At 53.1% G+C, this 19,230-nt stretch overlaps 1 protein-coding gene across 1 annotated transcript in view, besides 2 other annotated features; it reads right to left on the reverse strand.

Moving 5' to 3' along the window:
* The window catches only part of SP6 (Sp6 transcription factor), a 31,404-nt gene extending 25,727 nt beyond the window's left edge, over window positions 1–5,677 (reverse strand). Inside the window, exon 1 of the mRNA XM_006722115.4 lies at window positions 5,495–5,677. The gene's annotated coding sequence lies outside the window, so the exon portion shown is untranslated. The remainder of the gene's footprint in view (window positions 1–5,494) is intronic.
* Window positions 6,874–7,451: a transcriptional cis regulatory region, noted in NCBI's record as "candidate enhancer chr17.3283 targeted for multiplex CRISPR interference". NCBI's record gives its function as "positively regulates SP6 gene expression with high confidence in K562 cells {active_cell/tissue: K562}" and the evidence as "EXISTENCE:mutant phenotype evidence [ECO:0000015][PMID:30612741]".
* Window positions 15,041–15,574: an enhancer, noted in NCBI's record as "H3K4me1 hESC enhancer chr17:45963041-45963574 (GRCh37/hg19 assembly coordinates)". NCBI's record gives its function as "activates a minimal SCP1, AML or CMV promoter by ChIP-STARR-seq in primed H9 embryonic stem cells {active_cell/tissue: H9 hESC(primed)}" and the evidence as "EXISTENCE:reporter gene assay evidence [ECO:0000049][PMID:30033119]".

Below are 19,230 nucleotides of genomic sequence, written 5' to 3' on the forward strand. Positions count from 1 at the left end.
GGGTTTTCACTGCAAAGAACTTCACCACCCAAGCATGAACACATGGAGGTACTTGTCCTTGACATAGGGTATCCAGCTGGGAAGGGATCCTAAACATCCGGGTTTCCTAATTGGCACCCCAGAACCCCCAGCCACGCCAGAGAATGAAACTCTGCCGGTTTTGTGTGACTTCAGGAACATCCACCTCCTCCTGCGCTGAACTCAGTGATGTCCCACTGGCAACTTTCTCTCCACTGGTTTGATGGGCTCTATAACCTAGAGTCTGGGGTTCACCTTCCCTAGTTTTCTGGAAAATTCATACTCCCTGCCCCCAAACTCATCCTCCCTAATTAGCTCCCCTAAAATGTGCTGAGAAGAGGGATTCTTCTCTTCTGACCCTCCTTCTAGCAGGTGGAGTTCATAACCCTCGATCGAGTATTCCAGGGATTTTTGTTTTGTTCACTAATTGTATCATAAGCACCCAGAACAGTGTCTGGCACACAGTAGGCATTCCATAAATGTTTACTGGATGAATGAATGGTGCCCACACTTGGAAAGTTCCTCCAGAAGCCCATCCTATATCCCTATTACTATCATTTAAGCTTTCAGCTCTGGCCCTAGAAGAGAGGAGTCAGCTATCTGCCTGCATCTGTCATCATTTATTGAGCACCTACTGTGTGCAAACCATTGTGATATGTGACTGTCTGTTCATAACTTAAGAGTCTTGGCTCATACCAATACCTCTTACTATCTGTCCCCACTTCTCCCTCCAAGTCCAGTCTTCATTCAACCTCACTGGCCCATTTTCTTAAGAATTACTCAAGATTTAATAAGAATGAGAAGTTTGCTTTCTGTGATTATAATTGTTTGTTCTAGGTCTTCTTTCGTCTCCACTTAAGATAAGTGAAAACCTCTCCATTTCTCTTTTTGTCTCTGTGCCTCCAACTCTCTGCATAGCATGTGTTCCTGCCTCTGTATCCCCATCTGGTCTCTGTTTCTGTTTCTTTCTTTTTTTTTTTTTTTGAAACAGAGTTTTGCTCTGTCACCCAGGCTGGAGTGCAGTGGCGTGATCTTGGCTCACCACAACCTCTGCCTCCCGGATTCAAGCGATTCTCCTGCCTCGGCCTCCCGAGTAGCTGGGACTACAGGTGCCTGCCACCATGCCTGACTAATTTTTTTGTATTTTTAGTAGAGACGGGGTTTCACCATGTTGCCCAGGCTGGTTTTGAACCCCTGAGCTCAGGCAATCCACCTGCCTTGGCCTCCCAAAGTGCTGGGATTACAGGCGTCAGCCACCGCGCCCGGCCTCTGGTCTGTTTCTTTGCTGGAAGAGTAGCTCTTTCTTGGGATCCCCTCTCTAGGTTTGATTCGTTGGGGTGTGGGTTTGTCTCAGGCCCAATCTATTTCTCTGTCTCCCTCTCTTTCATTTCCTTTACAGCAAATAGGTAAACAAGTGGTTGAAAAATAGGAAAAGGGGAAGAAAAAAAGAGAAGCTATCATGGGGTGTTTTCTCCCAGGTATCAGGGTCGCAGGTAGTTCCAACCTCAACTGGGAACAAGTCCCAACAGGTGCAACCCCTGTCCAGATGTTGCACAATGCAGGCGCGTGCCCAGAGCCCAATCCCAGATCGGTTCTCGGGCAGAGGTCCGGGTTGGGGATGTATCCAAACCAGAAATATCCTTTCAGGTCTCTCTCCCCGAGACAAACCCCGGCAGGGTCTGCTCCTCCCGGAGCCGGCTTGCAGGCGTGTTGGGGGAAGCCAGCGAGGTTGTTTGCCGGGAAAGGACAGTTTGGGACCCGGGAGGGGAGTTCCCTGCGTCTGGGCCGTGGGGGGAGCTACAGGCCGGGCGGGGGTGAGTAAGGCCCAGCGGACGCAGGAGGCTCAGTGGCGGCGGCGGCGGCGGCGATGGGGAGGAGGGTAATTAGCAGGGAGGCTCTCGCCACAGCACGTCCCCACAAATGAGAGGCCCCGGGCCCCAGACACCACACAACAAAGCAAGAGGCAATTATTTGGCTCCAGTGGGAGGGGACAGCCCTTTGCCGGCCCACTGCAGCTGAGCACCCAGCCTCCGTTGAGGACGCGGAGGGTGGGGTGCAGAGACCCCTCTCACCAGCCCCCCGGCGGCAAGGGCAGGGCCCCGAGGGACTCCCGCTGGGTTACCCTTAGAGGAGGTCCCTGTTTGGGAAGGCAGAGCCGTAGGAGGCCCCAGCCTGATTAGAGCCGGCCCTCAGCCAGCCCGGAGCCTCCCACAAGGCATCCAGGAGACCTCCTGGGGACCCCACAGGGAAGCGAGAATGTCCTGGGACCGGGGCTGGAGAGGGCGGAAGGGGCTTTTTGGGTCCTGGAGAAGCCAGTGGCCAACATCTGAACCCCCCTTCTCCAGCTGTGGCCACACAACTGGCAACCGGGAGGCTCTCAGGCAGGTGGGGAAACCACAGAGGAGGGAGCAGGAGCCAGGGAGATTCCAGAGCTCTGGCCTAGACCTGGAATTCACACAATTGCTATGCAAACCAAATGCAAATACATCTTCTTTTATCTCCCCTTCAAAAATCGTCAAATCAAGCATATTTGGAAGAAGGCCAGGCCTGATCAGCTGGAGGACCCCCAGCCTCTGCTTGCCTCCTTCTCCCTTTCCACCCACCCATCCCTACAGGAAAACTAAGTCCTACAATACCTTAGATTCACCTGGGACCCATCTGCAAAGGACTTTCCCCTCTTCAGATGAAAGAGCCCAAAGTACAGATGGGGAAAAAGAGGCCTTAAGAGATTAAGGTACTTTCCCCTGCCCTAACAGCCCACCTGGAGAATGACAGGCCTCCTGGAAGCTTCTGACAACAGCCCTAGGTTAACAGCATGCCAGCTGGGGGAGGGGAAAGAGCACAGAACTGGGAGTCCTAAAATCTGATCTCTGGTCTCAGCTTTGCCTCTAACTTGCTGGGTAATCTTGAGAGAGTTACTTATCTTCTCCAAGCCTCAATTTCTCTGAATATCAAGTGGCTATCTCTGGGAAAAAAGGCTCTTCCCGAGTTGAGCCCCTCCCTGCGTCAGGGCCATCCCGCATTGCTGCCAAGGGTCCTTGAGCCAAATGCTCTGCTTGTCATCCTCCCCAGCTCTCACCACTCTCTGCCTCAGGCCAACATAGGATGAACCCCAGCCATTGGCCTCCCCTTTTCTTTTCTCTTTTCTTCTCTTCTCTCTCTCCCTCCCTCCCCCCTTCCTTCCTTCTTGCTTTCCTCCTCCTCCTCCTCTTCTTCTTCCTCCTCCCCCTCCTCTTCTTCTTCCTCCTCCGCCTCCTACTCTTCCTTCTTCTTCTTCCTTCTCTTCTCCCTTCTCCCCTCTTCCCTCCTCCTTTCCTCTCTTTCTTCTTCTTCCTCTTCCTCTTTTTCTTCTCCTTCCTCCCTCCTTCTTCCCTCCTCCTTCCTCTTCCTCTTCTTCTTCTTCTCCTTCCTCCCTCCTCCTTCCCTCCTCCTTCTTCTTCTTTTTTGTTATTTTGAGACAGTCTCACTCTGTCACCCAGGCTGGAGTGCAGTGGAGCAATCATAACTCACTGCAGCCTCAACCTCCCTGGCTCAAGTAATCCTCCCACCTCACCCTCCTGAGTAGCTAGGAGTACAGGCGTGCACCACCACACCTGGCTAATTTTAAAAATTTTTTTCTGTAGAGGCTGGGTTTCATTATATTGCCCAGGCTGGTCTCGAATTCCTGGGCTCAAGTGATCCTCCTGCCTTGGCCTCTCAAAGTGCTGGGATTACAGATGTAAGCCACCACACCCAGCCTCATTTTCAAAATCTTCCTCAAAATTCACTTTAGGAGCCAGGCAGGGGGTACATGCCTGTAATTCCAGGTATTTGGGAGGCTGAGGTAGAAGGACTGCTTGAGCCCAGGAGTTCGAGTCTAGCCTGGACAACAGAGCAAGACCTCCTTTCTAAAAGAAGAAAAAACAATTCCCTTCAGGAGGCCTCACTGAGTTAGCCCTGCTGACCTCTGGTTGCTGCTGATGTTGGGGTTCTCTCCATCTAGGAAGGGCTCACTGGTCCTGTACGTTTGCCCTTGCTGATATGGGCTGGGAGAGCTCCTAAGTAATTTGGAGAGTGCATGTGGGATCCTCATTGTGCCCCCACCTGCACCCAGGATGGAGACAGAGACTATCTCTTACGTTAGACTGGGGGCTTCGCAAGAACACAGGCTGCATCTTTTCCAGTATATTGTAGCTCTCTGAGGCCAGAGAGCCCCCATTAGGGTGGGACTGTGTGTCTACCATTAATACTTTTCCCTAAAGTTGAGGACTCTGCCCCCTCCACCTGCCCAAACCTGTGGTCAGCAGGAGCCATTCCACAGGGGAGAGGGGCCTAGACAGCTGCCTCTCCCAAGTCTTCACTGACTGCTTTCTCAGCTCCCCCTCAGCCCCCTTTTCCGGGCCCCTGCCACCACCAGGGGGGCAGCTTTGTCATTTCCCCTCTCCCACCCGGCTTCTTCTCTTCTCAGAAACTCTGGCCTGGCATCTGCCTCCTCCTCCTCTTCTCCCAGCTTCTTACCACCCTCATCCCTCTCCAGGGCCTCAGGGCAAGTATTTGCCATCTGCCATCTCCTTGCATTCCTGGGGCTGGCTCCCAGGCTCCCTGCTTCCCCGGGGGGGCCTGAGAACCCTGCTCATCTGCCCTATACCATCAGAGCTGCCCTTGCCACCCTCAGAATGCCTGAGTCCTTTGTTCCGCAGTCCCCCCCAAGGCCTCCTGGGGCTTGCAGTGCCAGGGCTGTTAACATCGTAGGCTGCCCTCACCCCTCTGAGCCAGAGAGGCTATCAAAGCAAGCCTGGGGGGCCCCCTCTAGCGCCAGCAACTCCCGGTGCCTCCCTCCTCCAGGTCTCCATCTTCACCTCAGGGAGACTCCCTGCCCTGAGAACCCACCACTTCATATCCATTTGCATATACTTGTTGGTCCAGCCCAAGCAAATTAATGCAAATGCAATCCAAACCAGAGGCAATGAAGCAGCAACGCTGGATGGCCCTGATGCCAGGAGAGGAATCAACGTCTGGAAGAACCTCTTTTTCCTGAGATGGACATTCAGGGAAACCGAGGGTGGAGAGAAGTGCATTCCTTGCTTGTGCATTCCTGGCTGGGATGCCTGATTCTCTGAAAACTTTCCAGGGCCACTGACCTGAGTTGTGTAACAGTGCTCTCCTTTTGCCCTTAGACCTCCTTTAACTGTGGCTCTTCTTTCACACACTTTCGATCTTTTTCCTTCTCTCTGATCTTCCCCTTCCCTGGGTCCTGACACTCCTTGCCCTCAGCACAGGAGCCCTGCACCCCACCATCATTCCCTGAGGGTGAGTGAAGCAGGTGGTTCCTGTGGACTCTGAGAAGAACTGAGGAGCCTCCCCTGTCACAGTGAGCTCCCCACTAACCTGCCCTGTTGCCAAAAAACCCTACCATTAGAGTGTTTCTGTGAGTACCATGTTCTGTTTAAAGACATGTGTCACTGTGGGTCTGGCTGACATATTCTGGAATTATCACCTTAGCAGAAAACAGGGACTTGGGATCCTCTGGTAGATTCGAGGTGGTTGAAGAAGAGAAGAAGACCTGGAGTGAAAAAAGGAATAGACACTGTCTAGAAATGCATTCAATCAATGGATGTTTATTGAACACTTACTATGTCCTGGGCCCCGAGCTCAGCAGTGGGGATGGGGTGAACAAGAGTGGCTGGCTTCATGTAGGAAAATAGGTGTTTCTCAAACTTGAATTACACCCGCATTACCATGGATGACCATTAAAACCCAAGTCCTCAGCTGGGCGCGGTGGCTCACGCCTGTAATCCCAGCACTTTGGGTGGCCGAGGTGGGCAGATCACCTGAGGTCAGTAGTTTGAGACCAGCCTCGTCAACATGGCGAAACCCCGTCTCTACTAAAAATACAAAAATTAGCCAGGTGTGGTGGCACATGCCTGTAATCCTAACTATTTGGGAAGCTGAGGCAGGAGAATTGCCTGAACCCAGGAAGTGGAGGTTGCAGTGAGCCGAGATCGCACCATTGCACTCCAGCCTAAGCAACAAGAGTGAAATTCTGTCTCAAAAAAAAAAAAAAAAAAAGAAAAGAAAACAAAAACCCAAGTCCTCAAGCCTCTGTTGATCCAGTGAGTCTATGGGGGCCCAGGAATCTGCACTGAAACAAGCATTTCCCCGGCTGGGCGCGGTGGATCATGCCTGTAATCCCAGCACTTTGGGAGGCCGAAGGCAGGCGGATCACGAGGTCAGGAGATTGAGACCATCCCGGCTAACACGGTGAAACCCCATCTCTACTAAAAATACAAAAAATTAGCCAGGCGTGGTGGCGGGCACCTGTAGTCCCAGCTACTTGGGAGGCTGAGGCAGGAGAATGGCATGAACCCAGGAGGCGGAGCTTGCAGTGAGCCAAGATCGTGCCACTGCACTCCAGCCTGGGTTACAGAGCAAGACTCTGTCTCAAAACAAAAAAAAAAAAAAAGAAACAAGCATTTCCCCTTCCCCTTCCCAGTGATGTAGCTGTAGGTGGTCTGGTGACCACACTTTGAAAAGCCCTGGTGGCAGGTCCTGGGTTCTAAGAACAGCCTGGAGTTTCAGGGATCCACGGAGGTAGAAAGAGGGAGGGAGGGAGGGTGTTGTCAAGAAGAGTTAGCCAGGATAGGAGGTGACAGGCAGGGTCTTCTCCTCATGGCCTGCCATGCCCTGAGAGGGGCTGGGGATCCACCAGGCTCTCTCTGCCTGCAGGTCCCCCCTGGCCCTTCACCATCACTTGGGGGCTTCCCTGGACCCTTCCCTGGGATCAGAGGGTCTTCCACAGAGGCCTCCCAGCACCCTGTTGATTCCCACCTTTCATTTCTCTCTGGGCCCCAAGGCACCTTCTCCTCAGTCTACAAAGGGTGGGCACTAATGGGAAAAGGTGGCAGAGACCCCAGACCACACTCCCCACTCTGTAGCCCCGACCCCCTGGTCTCAGAGGGCTTCCTGGAGTCAGTGTCTAGGCTGAAGAGGGAGGGCCTCAGAGGATGAGATTTGAGGAAGCAGGAATAGAGGTTGAGAGGGAAGGCGAAGGGAGGGAGACTGCCCCTCCTCCCCTCCAGCGCTTGGTGTTTGATGCTGGGGGTGCCGAGACATCTCCTCTCCCGGAAACTCAAGGCCAGACAGATAAACACAGATGGAGGGAGAGACTCGGCTGCTTTATTTATGGGCCCGGTGACAGGCCCTCTCCTGTCTCAGAGTCACTAATCTACCAGGCGGAAGAGACATCCCACTCCCTCGCCACCCTCTTCCCTCCCTCCTAAGACTGGGGCTCAGCCAGGCTCCAAGCCTCCCCTAGGTGGTCAGGCAGTGCCAGTTCCCATGGGCTAGAGGAGAGTGTCCAGAGGCTCAATAGACACCCTCTCTCTCTCTCCCCCAACAAAACAGGGTGTCCTTCCCCTTGAGAAGACTTCTTAAGTCAAGGCCTTTGAAGTCCCTGAAGAGACACCCTGGGCTGCCCCGACTTGGGTCTATCCAGAGCAGGGATTGATGGGGGACCCCATGATGTCCCTAAGGGGTCAGACCCAGAGCTGAAGGGTGCTGCCTCCTGATACTTCCTTCAAATTTACTTCCTCTAACAGCAATTAGCACTCAAATAAAGGGGTCTTTGGGGACCCATCTTAATTGCTCCATTTTCTCCACCTCCACCGTCTCCTTACCCATCCACACTTTCACAAACCTCCTCCTGCCACCCTCCAATGAAGGGTTAAATTTCACTGTGCCTGCTGGAGGGGCCACCAGGAATTGCCCCGCCTCCCATCAGCTGGGAAACATGGGCTCTCTGACTTCCCTGATTCCTTCAGTTCCCTCTCCCTGCCCTGTGTCTGTCTGCCAGCACCCCTTCATTCTGCCATCTTTACCTGGGTCTACCCCAAATCTCTGCATGGGGACAGAACTGAACTCAGCCTTACAGACAGAATGGGTTCCTTGGGCCCCAGGGTCAGAGGTCAGAGAGCACCAAAAGGGCAGAAAGCAGAGGGGGTCAGGGAGGGGGCAGATCCATACCTGTCGGTGGCTTTGAGGCCGGACACTCAGAGCCTTTAAAGCCCCAGAGATTCAGGGATTTGGCTCATGGGATCAGACTGCCCGGCTTCCTGACTCACAGTGGCCAGACCCAGACTGGGACCTGCTCAACTCGCCCCTCTCTTTTTCATTTAAGCGACTTTGGGTCATCCATGGGCCAGGGAGCCCATGTTTCCCCCTCCCATGGCCCCGCCCCATTGTTGGCACCTTATCTGAGCACACAACCCGAGCCTGGGGAAAAGGGGGTGATTTGCAATCCTGGCTCAGATTTACAGTGAAGTCCTAGGTGGTTTCTTCCTCCGGTGAATGGGCATAGTTTGGGGGTAAATGGCATTTACTAGCCTCTCCCCCAATCCCCTGCCAAATCAATTTCAGATTCTCCTCTAGAAAGCTTTCCCCCAATAACTCCACTCAGCCCCTTCCCTGTATCTTCTTCCCATTCTCCCAGCACTACCTCAATAATTCCATTCAGTTGCTGTCTGCCCTTGTTTCTGGTCTCTGCTGATGAATCAGGGATGTATTCTGTCTTCCCACTCAGGCTGAGACATCTCTGTGGTCAAGAACTACGCCTCCCCTATCTAACCACTGCTCCCTGACAGGGTCTCCTCTAGATCTGCTCCCTGCACTGAGCACAGGAAGCTGACTGCTGGCAGGGGAGGAGGTGGCAGAGGGGAGGTCCATCCACCTTTCCGCTCAGGAAAGATTTTCACAAGTAGACAGATCACCCAAAGGAAGTCAGGGAAACATGGAAGCATAAGGGAAAGAATTCCCATTCTTTTTGTTTTTTTTTGTTTTTTTTTGTTTTTGAGACAGGGTCTCTCTCTGTCACCCAGGCTGGAGTGCAGTGGTGTGATCCCAGCTCACTGCAGCCTCAACCTCCAGGGCTCAAACAATCCTCCCATCTCAGCCATCCAAGTAGCTGGTACTACAAGCGCACACCACCACATCCAGCTAATTAAAAAAAAAAAAAATGTAAAGATGGGGTCATCCTGTGTTGCCCAGGCTGGTCTTAAACTCCTGAGTTCAAGTGATCCTCCCACCTCAGCCTCCTAAAGTGCCAGGATTAGAGGCGTGAGCCACTGCACCCAGCTTATTTTTTGTTTAGTTGGCCAATTACAATTGTATATATTTAGCAGTGAACATGATTTTATTTTATTTATTTATTTATTGAGTTGGGATCTCACTCTGTTGCTCAGGCTGGAGTGCGGTGGTATGACCATAGCTCACTGCATCCTCAAACTCCTGGGCTCAAGCGATCCTCCAGCCTCAGTCTTCTGAGTAGCTAGGACTAGAAGCACGCGCCACCACACCAGATAATTTTTATATTTATTTTTTTTGTAGAGACAGGGTCTTGCTATGTTGCCCAGGCTGGGACATGACTTATTAAGTCCATGCTGAGAAAAAGAAGAGTGAGTTATTCTCCCCTACACTCAGGATTTTCCAGAGAGCTTCAGAATCCCTCCTCCTGCCCCACCTCCCCATTCGCACTTGCTCCTTCCTTGGAGGCCCAAGGCAGAAGGATGCAGGGGTCCGCCTCATCTCTTATAAAGTCCTGTTGCACTTCCCCTCCTCCCACTTGCCCACCCTGCTCGCCTGAGGGCCTGGCTCCATGCCAGGTGTCACCTGCTCAGCCTCATCCAGGGTGCTTACTCAGGACAGAACCAACTGGGGAGACAATGTCTCCTCTTCCTCACAGCAGCTGCCAACCTCTAGGTCCCCTTCTGTGCCCTGAATCCATCCATGCACGAACACACTCTGAACCCAGGGGTGTATGTCTGCCCATGACAGGGAAGGTGTAGCCGGGTGCGTTGGCTCACATCTGTAATCCCAGCACTTTGGGAGGCCGAGGCGGACGGATCACATGAGGTCAGGAGTTCGAGACCAGCCTGGTCAACATGGTGAAACCCCGTCTCTAGTAAAAACACAAAAAATTAGCCAGCATAGTGGCGTGCGCCTGTAATCCCAGCTGCTTGGGAGGCTGAGGCAAGAAAATTGCTTGAACCCAGGAGGTGGAGATTGCAGTGAGCTGAGATCATGCCACTGCACTCCAGCCTGGGCGACTGAGTGAAACTCAGCCTCAGAAAAAGAAAAAAAAAAAAAAAAGACAGGGAAGGTGGATGTTTGCTCAGCCTGGGTGTGTTTTTCACCTCTCTCTGTCCCTTCCCCTTCTTTCAGGTGATTATGGAATCCGTGATCTTGGAAAAGTCACTGCATCCCTCCCCCAGCCTCTGCCACAACCCCCCAGCATGCTGATGAACATCTCTTTTAGGTTTAAGACCACCAGCACCCTGGAAAAGGAACCACCATACCCCTCCCAGGTGTTATGAAGCAACGAAATGTACTCTCCCTTGTCTGCTCTGCCCTGCCTTGGCAGTTGGGTCCTAACTTGAAATCCATCTTCGTTGCCACCCTGTCTGCTGAAGATCTCCGAGGTTGCCCATGCTGACTACTGATCTCCTTGCTACCTCCTGGAGATAATGGACTTCACTTGTCCACCAGGGTCTCAGCCCGAGACCCGCATAGGGCTGCTAGGCTGGCTGGCTTCTGTGATTCTCATTTTGAAGGCTACCTTTCTAAGCTTAGGCTGCTGGATCTCCCCATCCTGATTTCTGATAAGCAGAAAGCTAGGAGGGGCGCCAGCTGTCCTGAAGGCAATAAAAGCTCTCATTTACTGAGCCCTTACCACGAGCCAGGCACATGCTTTTTAAAAATTTAATCTTCATGGCTGGGCGTGGTGGCTCACACCTGTAATCCCAGCACTTTGGGAGGCTGAGGCAGGCGAATCACGAGGTCAGGAGATCAAGACCATCCTGGCTATCATGGTGAAACCCAGTCTCTACTAAAAATACAAAAAATTAGCCGGGCGTGGTGGCGGGCGCCTGTAGTCCCAGCTACTCGGGAGGCTGAGGCAGGAGAATGGCGTGAACCCGGGAGGTGGAGCTTGCAGTGAGCCGAGATCGCACCACTGCACTTCAGCCTGGGCAACAGGGCGAGACTCCGTCTCAAAAAAAAAAAAAAATTAATCTTCATTACAACTCCATTCTACACAAGAGGAAATGGAGGCACCGACAGACCACGGTAGCACTTCCCAATCAGATTGTAACCCCCTCTGAGTCACCGACACAGTCAAGGTTCTATGCACAGCAGGAGTGGCCCTCTGTGGACAAAGCTCTGCCCTGGGCAACTGAGAGAAGGGGCAGGGGACAAGAGAGGGAAGTGAGGGAAGGCAGTTTCTCCAGGAGCTTTCAGTCTGAGGGAGGAGACAAGACCTCTGTCCTCTGGGAATTGCTAGTCTGAGAGAGGAGTCAGATTGCACTTGAAAAATCAGTAGTTCCCTGATCCCTAATGCCACCATCCAGGTGGTACCAGAGGTCTTCACGACTGCATGAGCCTAGCTCCCCACCCACCGTGTCCTGGGAAAAAACACAAATAAGATTCGTCTTCCCTGAGTCGCTGGAGCAAAGGACAGGAGAAAACCCCTCTATGAGGTTGAATGATTCTTGTTAGATGCAATAGATGCAAAGGCCTATTGACTTCCAGGGCTAAGGGCCTCACTTGGAGGAAAGTTCTTGTGGATGGTATTTGAACTTTCCCATCTAGAAGCAGGGGAATGGCTGGGATGAACTCTAAAGGCATCTTGGAATTCCATCCTATCCTATTTCCTCTCCTTCATCGTAGCCAAGCTCTGAGGATTATGACAGCGTGGGCAATAAAAAGTGCCTAATTGGTTGTTGTCCAGCCGAGGCTGCTCCCCATTTCCCTTGGCAGGGGTGGGAAACCGGCTGAGTCAGTTTCACTTTTGCTATTGCCCAGTTTCCCCATGGTTGCTGGGCACTAGCGGAAGCAGGGCACCCCGTGGGAATCAGGAGCTTGTCCCTGATGCTGCCTTTGAGGTGAGCATACCCCAAAAGGCAGAGGACCCCTAGAAAGCACCAGAACGTTAGGCTACAACTGCCCCCTCCCTGTGGAAAGAGGATAACTGGCAGGCTTCTCTCCAAATGTCCAGGGCCAACCCCACTGGCCTCTGAAGGAGTTGGGAGGAGGCACAGAGGACACCCTTTCCCCGGGCCTTGGTGGTGAAGCCTCTTCTGTAGCAGAGGGCAGAGGTGGAGACATGGGCTCTAGAGCCAGGTGCCTGGCTGGAATCCTGACTGTGAAGCCAGTGGTGTGATCTTGAGCAAGTTACTTAAGCTCACTATGCCTCAGTTTTCTCATCTGCAAAGTGGGGCTGATTATAGGACCTATCTCATAGGGAAAATGGGCTTGAATGAGTCAACGCATGTAAAGAGCTTGGAGCAGTGCCTGGCATGCAGTAGGTACTCAATAAATGGTAGCCATGAGCAGTAGCTCAGCCTGGCAGTGGGCATGGGGAGATGGGATGCAAGTCAGAATCTGGACATGGCGGGGATGCGGGTGGGTGAGTGAGATGACTTTTGAACAGAGATCCTGGGCTTCCCAATGTCTGCTCATCTGGCAGTGAGATCCCAGTAGGCCAGGAGGGTCAGTGAGAGTTTGGCCTGGGTTCTCTCCTGAGCAGCTGCATCCCACTCAAGCCCTTCCACCATAGAGCTCTCCCTCCCACCGCCCACCTTACCTCTCCCCACCTTCAGCATGAAGGCCACTCTCTCCTTCTCATGTCTTTCCAGGAAGGGTGGAGCCAGGCTCCTCACCTTCCTGGCAAACATGCTGGCGTCCCCCCACCCAGGTCACATCCTCTCTCCTAGGAACCTGTGAACAAACTGTTCTTTCTGCTGGGGACACCCTGCTCCCTTTGCAGCTCTCGCCTCTTCCTCCTTCCCAAGCCAGTCTGGTGCTCCTCTTCTCTAATGGGACGTTCCCAGGCACAGTATCATCCCTGCCCTGAGTCCTACCCAGTGCCGGCAATCTGGCCCCTTTCTCAATGCCCAGGTCCTGGACGAGTGCACAGTCTCCCCCATCAGACTAAGAAGTTAAGCACTGTGTTTTACCCCAGAATCCACTGGACCGTGCAGTCCATCCATGAGCCTCCAGGCCTCAGCCACTGTTATGCCTTTCCCTTTCCTTGGGTTTCCCATTTTGATCCAGGAAAGCAGCATAGTCACTGGGCTGCCTGCCACCTCCAATGCACCTGGGGGCTTGGCAGACAGACAGCCACCTGTCTCGGGAGGCTCAGGTGGATACTAATAGGCAGTGGAGGCCAAGGGCCTCCCCACCAGAGACCCCCAGAAGCCCCTCCAGCATTGAAGCTGGAAACAGACCATTCAGTTACAGAGTCCAATCCCACCCAAGCAGAGACTGATGCCGGAGGAGGTCCCAGGAAGACCCCCATTTAGCTGCTGCCCTTCTTGGAAACCTTTTGCTTCGACCTTGCCACTTCACTGTGGTCTCTTGAGGGGAGAGATGCTTATGAGTGGGAGTTGGAGTGGGAAGAACTCTGCTTGGCTCCTGGGGGGCAGCAGAGATTTATGGGACTGGATTTTTACAGGCTAGGGAGAGGCCCCAGGCAGGAGCTATGGAGCCCAACAGAGGAGCAAAGGCATAAAATCTCCGGACATGAAAGTCCCAGCGGCAGGCCCCCCCAGGCCTGTGGGTGGTGAGAGATTTACAGCTCTTGCACAAGGCCTGCAGGGGCCTGGGGAGCTGCAAGGACACTTCAGAGCCAGAATAACTCCCCGCCAAGGCCTTCACCTTTCTCCTCTAGGAAAAAAAAAAATACCAATAGAACAGGTTGGAGCTGCCAAGAAGATGGTTATCGCTGCTGGGACCCCGCCCCACCTGGAGACGAGGTGGCTCCCAACTTCCTCCCCCTCCCCGAGCTCTCCTCTCTGCCCCCAGGTCAGGGAGAGGTGCCTAGGGCAAGGCGAGGGGAGAGTGGAGGTGGGGCAACTTCCAGAAGGGGCCTCCCCCTGGAGAAAGTGGGGCTCGGGCTTTCACTGTTCCTTTGCCCAGACAAGGAATGCACAGCAGTGGCCAGAACCCCTGACAAGCCCAGGGGCCTGGAAGGGGGCAGTGAGTGGGTTCTGCCAGCTCCAATATTTAGGGAATGCTTTCACAATGTGCATGTGGGTAGGAGTCTTACCTGACGGGGTACAAGGATAGGAAAATAAAGACGGAAAAACAGAACGTCCCTTGTGCTTAGCAGCCATCTCTCATCTCAGTCAATGAGCTAAAAAGCTGAGACAGGAATTTCTCAAATGGAAAGTGCCCGGCCCCAGCCCCATGCCCTCTGCCCTTGCTCCACCAAACCCAGCTGCCAGTTTTCTCTAGGGCCAGACCCCAGCTCCTTCCCTACCCACCGAAAGGAAGGGCGGTAGCCCTGTGCCTACTGGGGACAGCTCATCTGGTTGAAGGGTGTTTCTGCCGCTTCTGGACTCTGTGCCCCATCACCTTGGTCCCCCACCTGCACGGAGAAGCCCAGACCCTCAGCAGGGTGGGGGTGGGGTGCATTGCTAACCACTTAAAAGGACCAGGCAAGCACCCTGAGAACAGGTGAGGAGCCAGAGCCTTTGAACTGGGAGGGGCAGGTGCTGCTGCTGAAAGACGGAAATCCTGGGCCAGGGCTTGCAGCACCACGGAGAGGGGTGGGCAGGAAGGCCCATAAAAAGCTGGACCTTCCCCTTCCCACCCCTCAGTCCAGTCCCTCAAGACCAGAGCTGGCGCTGAGACAGCCAACTGAGTAATGTCTCAGGTGCTCAGCCAGGGGGCACAGACTTGTCCCTTACCAGGCCCCACCCTGAGTGCTCGGTCCCCACCCCCCAGGGACAGGCCAGGGGAACAGTGTGGAGAGAGGACTGAGGCACTGCTGCCCAAGAGGCAAGAGGTTGAGTGGGGAGAGCCTCAGGAGGGGTGTGGGGGAAGCAGCTGTATCATCCTTTTCCCTGCTGATTGGCAGGCTGGGAAGGGAAGGAAGAGACAGGTCAGTGCCCCAGAAAGGAAGGGGAGGAAGTTAATGAGGAAAGGTGGCTTTGCTCCCCTGTCCCCTGCCCCCTCTGCCACTAGCTTCTGACTCCAGGCTCCAGGAGTGGGCCGGGCTGGTCAGGACCTGCCTCCAGCCTGCCTTCCTCCCGAGCAGGTCGGGAAAATTACTCTCCTGGTACTGCTTTTTATTTTTTGAAGCCAGATCAAAGGTGGGACCCAGCTGGGAGCCATAGTAAAATCTCAGCAATGTGGAGCCTTGGAGTTTCAGAGGTGAAACCAGGAGCTTGGGGAGGGACCATCTCAGGCCCAGGCTGCATGGGTCAGAGGCCAGAGTGGGAGTGGAGAAGAAGAGTCAGGAGTGGAGCTGGTGGGTGGGGCCCTGCGAGAAGAACCAGCTGCTTGAAAAAGGCAGGCAAGTCTATGGTTACCTTGGTGTGCACGGCGGCTCATTCAATGCAGGGACCCACCCACGCAGAACCCCCTCACACCCCAGCATCCAAGCCTTTCAGAAACTTCTCTCCAGGCCTGTGTTCATATTGTCCCCATTGCCTCACTGCCCCATTGGTCACCTGCTCCAGTGCATCACTTTATTTATTTATTTTTGAGACTGAGTCTCGCTCTGTCGACCAGGCTGGAGTGCAATGGCGCAATCTCCGCTGACTGTAACCTCCGCCTCCTGGGTTCAAGCGATTCTCTTGCTTCAGCCTCCGGAGTAGCTGGGACTACAGGTGCGTACCACGACGCCCAGCTAATTTTTTGTATTTTTAGTAGAGACGGGGTTACACTGTGTTAGTCAGGATGGTCTTGATCTCCTGACCTCGTGATCCGCCTGCCTCGGCCTCCCAAAGTGCTGGGATTATAGGCATAAGACACCCGCTCAACCTTTTTATTTTATTTTATTTTAATTTAATTTTTATTTTTATTTTCAGACGGAGTTTCACTCTTGTCGCCCAGGCTGGAGTTCAGTGGCACAGTCTCGGCTCACTGCAACCTCCACCTCCCAGGTTCAAGCGATTCTCCTGCCTCAGCCTCCCAAGTAGCTGGGATTACAGGCACTCACCACTATGCCCAGTTAATTTTTGTAATTTTAGTACAGATGGGGTTTCACCATGTTAGCCAGGCTGGTCTCGAATTCCTGACCTTAGGTGAGCCGCCATTCTCAGCCTCCCAAAGTGCTGGGATTACAAGCGTGAGCCACCACTCCTGGCCTGTTTTTAAATTTTATTATTATTTTTGAGACAGGGTCTCATTCTGTCACCCAGGCTGGAGTGCAGTGAAGCCATCAGTGCTTGCTGTGACCTCGACCCCCTGAGCTCAAGTGATCCTCCCACCTCAGCCTCCCAAGTAGCTGGAACGACAGACTCATGCCACCACACCCAGCTAAATTTTTTTTTTTCCAGGAGTCTCACTGCTCTGTCACCCAGGCTAGAGTGCAGTGGTGTGATCTCGGCTCACTGCAACCTTCGCCTCCCAGGTTCAAGCAATTATCCTGCCTCAGCCTCCTGAGTAGCTGGGATTACAGGCACATGACACCACACCTGGCAAACTTTTGTATTTTTAGTAAAGACAGGGTTTCATCATGTTGGTCAGGCTGGTCTCGAACTCCTGACTTCGTGATCCACCTGCCTTGGCCTCCCAAAGTGCTGGGATTGCAGTTGTGAGCCATCGCGCCCGACCCACCCAGCTAATTTTTACTTTTTTTTTTTTTTGTAGAAATGGGGCATCTGGCTACGTTGCCTAGGCTGCATAACCTTATATAACAAGGAAGTTCTTAGATTAGGTAACTTTACTCCCTCCTGCTTCAAACAGAGCATATTCCCACTTTACATGCCCGAGTTCAGATTAGCAAAAAGCACCTTTGGCGGAGCGAGGTGGCTCACACCTGTAATCCCAGCACTTTGGGAGGCCGAGGTAGGTGGATCACCTGAAGTCAGGAGTTTGAGACCAGCCTAGCCAACATGGTGAAACCCCATCTCTACTAAAAATACAAAAATTAGCTGGGCGTGGTGGCGGACGCTTGTAATCCCAGCTACTCAGGAGGCTGAGACAGAAGAATCGCTTGAACCCGGGAGGCAGAGGTTGCCGTGAGCCGAGATCGTGCCACTGTACTCCAGCCTGGATGATAAAAGCAAAACTCCATCTCAAAAAAAAAAAAGAAAAAAATGAAAAAAGCACCTTCTTGGGGCTGGGCGCAGGGGCTCACGCCTGTAATCCCAGCACTTTGGAAGGCCGAGGCCGGCAGATCACCTGAGGTCGCGAGTTCGAGACCAGCCTGACCAATACGGAGAAACTCCGTCTCTACTAAAAATACCAAAAATTAGTCTGGCATGGTGGCGCATGACTGTAATCCCAGCTACTCAGGAGGCTGAGGTAGGATAATTGCTTGAACCTGGGAGGCAGAGGTTGCAGTGAGCCAAGATGGTGCCACTGCACTCCAGCCTGGGTGACAGAGCAAGACTCCATCTCAAAAAGAAAAAAAAAAAGAAAAAGAAAACATTTTTCTTTATTTATGGTAGAGATTTAGTAGCATTTTTAGTAGAGGCGGGGTTTTATCATGTTGTCCAGGCTGGTCTCAAACTCCTGACCTCAGGTGATCCGCCCACCTTGGCCTCCCAAAGTGCTGGGATTACAGGTATGAGCCACTGGGCCCAGCCATTTGTTTTCTTTGAGACAGGATCTTGCTCTCTCTCCCAGGCTGGAGTGCAGTGGTTCGATCTCAGCTCACTGCAACTTCTGCCCCCCAGGCTCAAGTGATCTTCCCACCTTAGCCTCCTGAGTAACTGGGAACACAGGCATGCACCACCATGCCCAGCTAATTTTTTTTTGTATTTTTAGTAGAGACAGTGTCTCACCATATTGCCCAGGCTGGTCTCAAACTCCTGAGCTCGAGCCATCCGCCCGCCTCAGCCTCCCAAAGTGCTGGTGGGACTGCAGGCATGAGTCACCACGCCCAGCATAAGTGCATGTGGATGTAGACAAAAGGAACGAGAGAGGGCTGCTCCACAAATTCTGCTGTCACTAATGGACTGGACGACCTCAGCCAACTCCATCACATTCTCAGAGCCTAGGTTTCCCCAGCCATAAAATATGGGGTTAATTGTCCCTTCTAGGGAATCTAGGGGGGTTAATTGGGCAATGGCTCTGAAGTGTCTAGGAGAAGGAGATCTATAAATATAAGGGATCATTAGCGGGCATTTCACAGCCATTTTGTGGGCCCCAGTGTTATTATTAATATGATTATTGTTATTGTTATCGCCCCCATGGCCCACTTCCCGAGTCTCTCCCAGCCAGGTCAGTGCTTTCAGGTGACAAGTGCTGCTCCTGAGCCCAGCCCTGGTCCTTCTGAACCCACACCCTCCACACTCAGGGTCTCTGGGGAACCCTCAGGAGACTAGCAATGGGACTGAGATGTGGTTTTGACATAAGTGAGGGCCTAGGAGGGAGACGGGCAGAGGGAGAGAGGGCAGTGCCTCGCCAGGGACATTCTCAGCCTCCCTTTGTCCCTGGGGACAATTCTAGTCTGCAGTGGGCAGCTGGGACTTACGAGAAGCAGACTGGGCACCACATGGAGCTGTGGTCAATGGGGTCGGGAAAGGTGGGGAGCAGGGGAGTGCAGGGGAGGGGCAGAGGCAGAGAGAAGATGCTGCTACCCGGGGAGGTAAGAGGAGCTGGTTGGTAGGAAACCAATTCCTTGAAGAGGCAAATGTGTGTGTTTGTTTGTTTTTGTTTTCAGACAGGGAGACAGGGTTTTGCTTTGTCACCCAGGGCAGAGTGCAGTGTCGCAAACACAGCTCACTACAGCCTCAAATTCCTAGGCTCAAGGGATCCTCCTGCCTCAGCCTCCCAAGTAGCTGGGACTACAGTTGAGAGCCACCAAGCCTGGCTAATTTTTAAATTTTTTTGTAGAGATGGGGGTCTCCTTAAGTTGTCCAGGCTAGTCTCTAACTCCTGGGCTCAAGAAGCAATCCTCCTGCCCTAGGCCTCCCCAAGTACTGGGATTACAGGCATGAGCCACCATGCCCGGCCCAAATGGCTTTTTTTTTGTTGTTTTGTCTTTTTTTTTTTTTTTTTTGAGATGAAGTCCCACTCTGTCGCCCAGGCTGGAGTGCAGTGGCAAGATCTTGGCTCACTGCAACCTCCGCCTCCCAGATTCAAGCGATTCTCCTACCTCAGCCTCCCAAGTAGCTGGGACTACAGGCATGCACCACCACGACTGGCTAATTTTTGTATTTTTAGCAGAGATGGGGTATCGCCATGTTGGCCAGGCCGGTCTTGAATTCCTGACCTCAGGTGATC

This window comes from Homo sapiens, chromosome 17 (assembly GCF_000001405.40).
Source record: "Homo sapiens chromosome 17, GRCh38.p14 Primary Assembly".
Classification (NCBI taxonomy): Eukaryota; Metazoa; Chordata; class Mammalia; order Primates; family Hominidae; genus Homo; species Homo sapiens.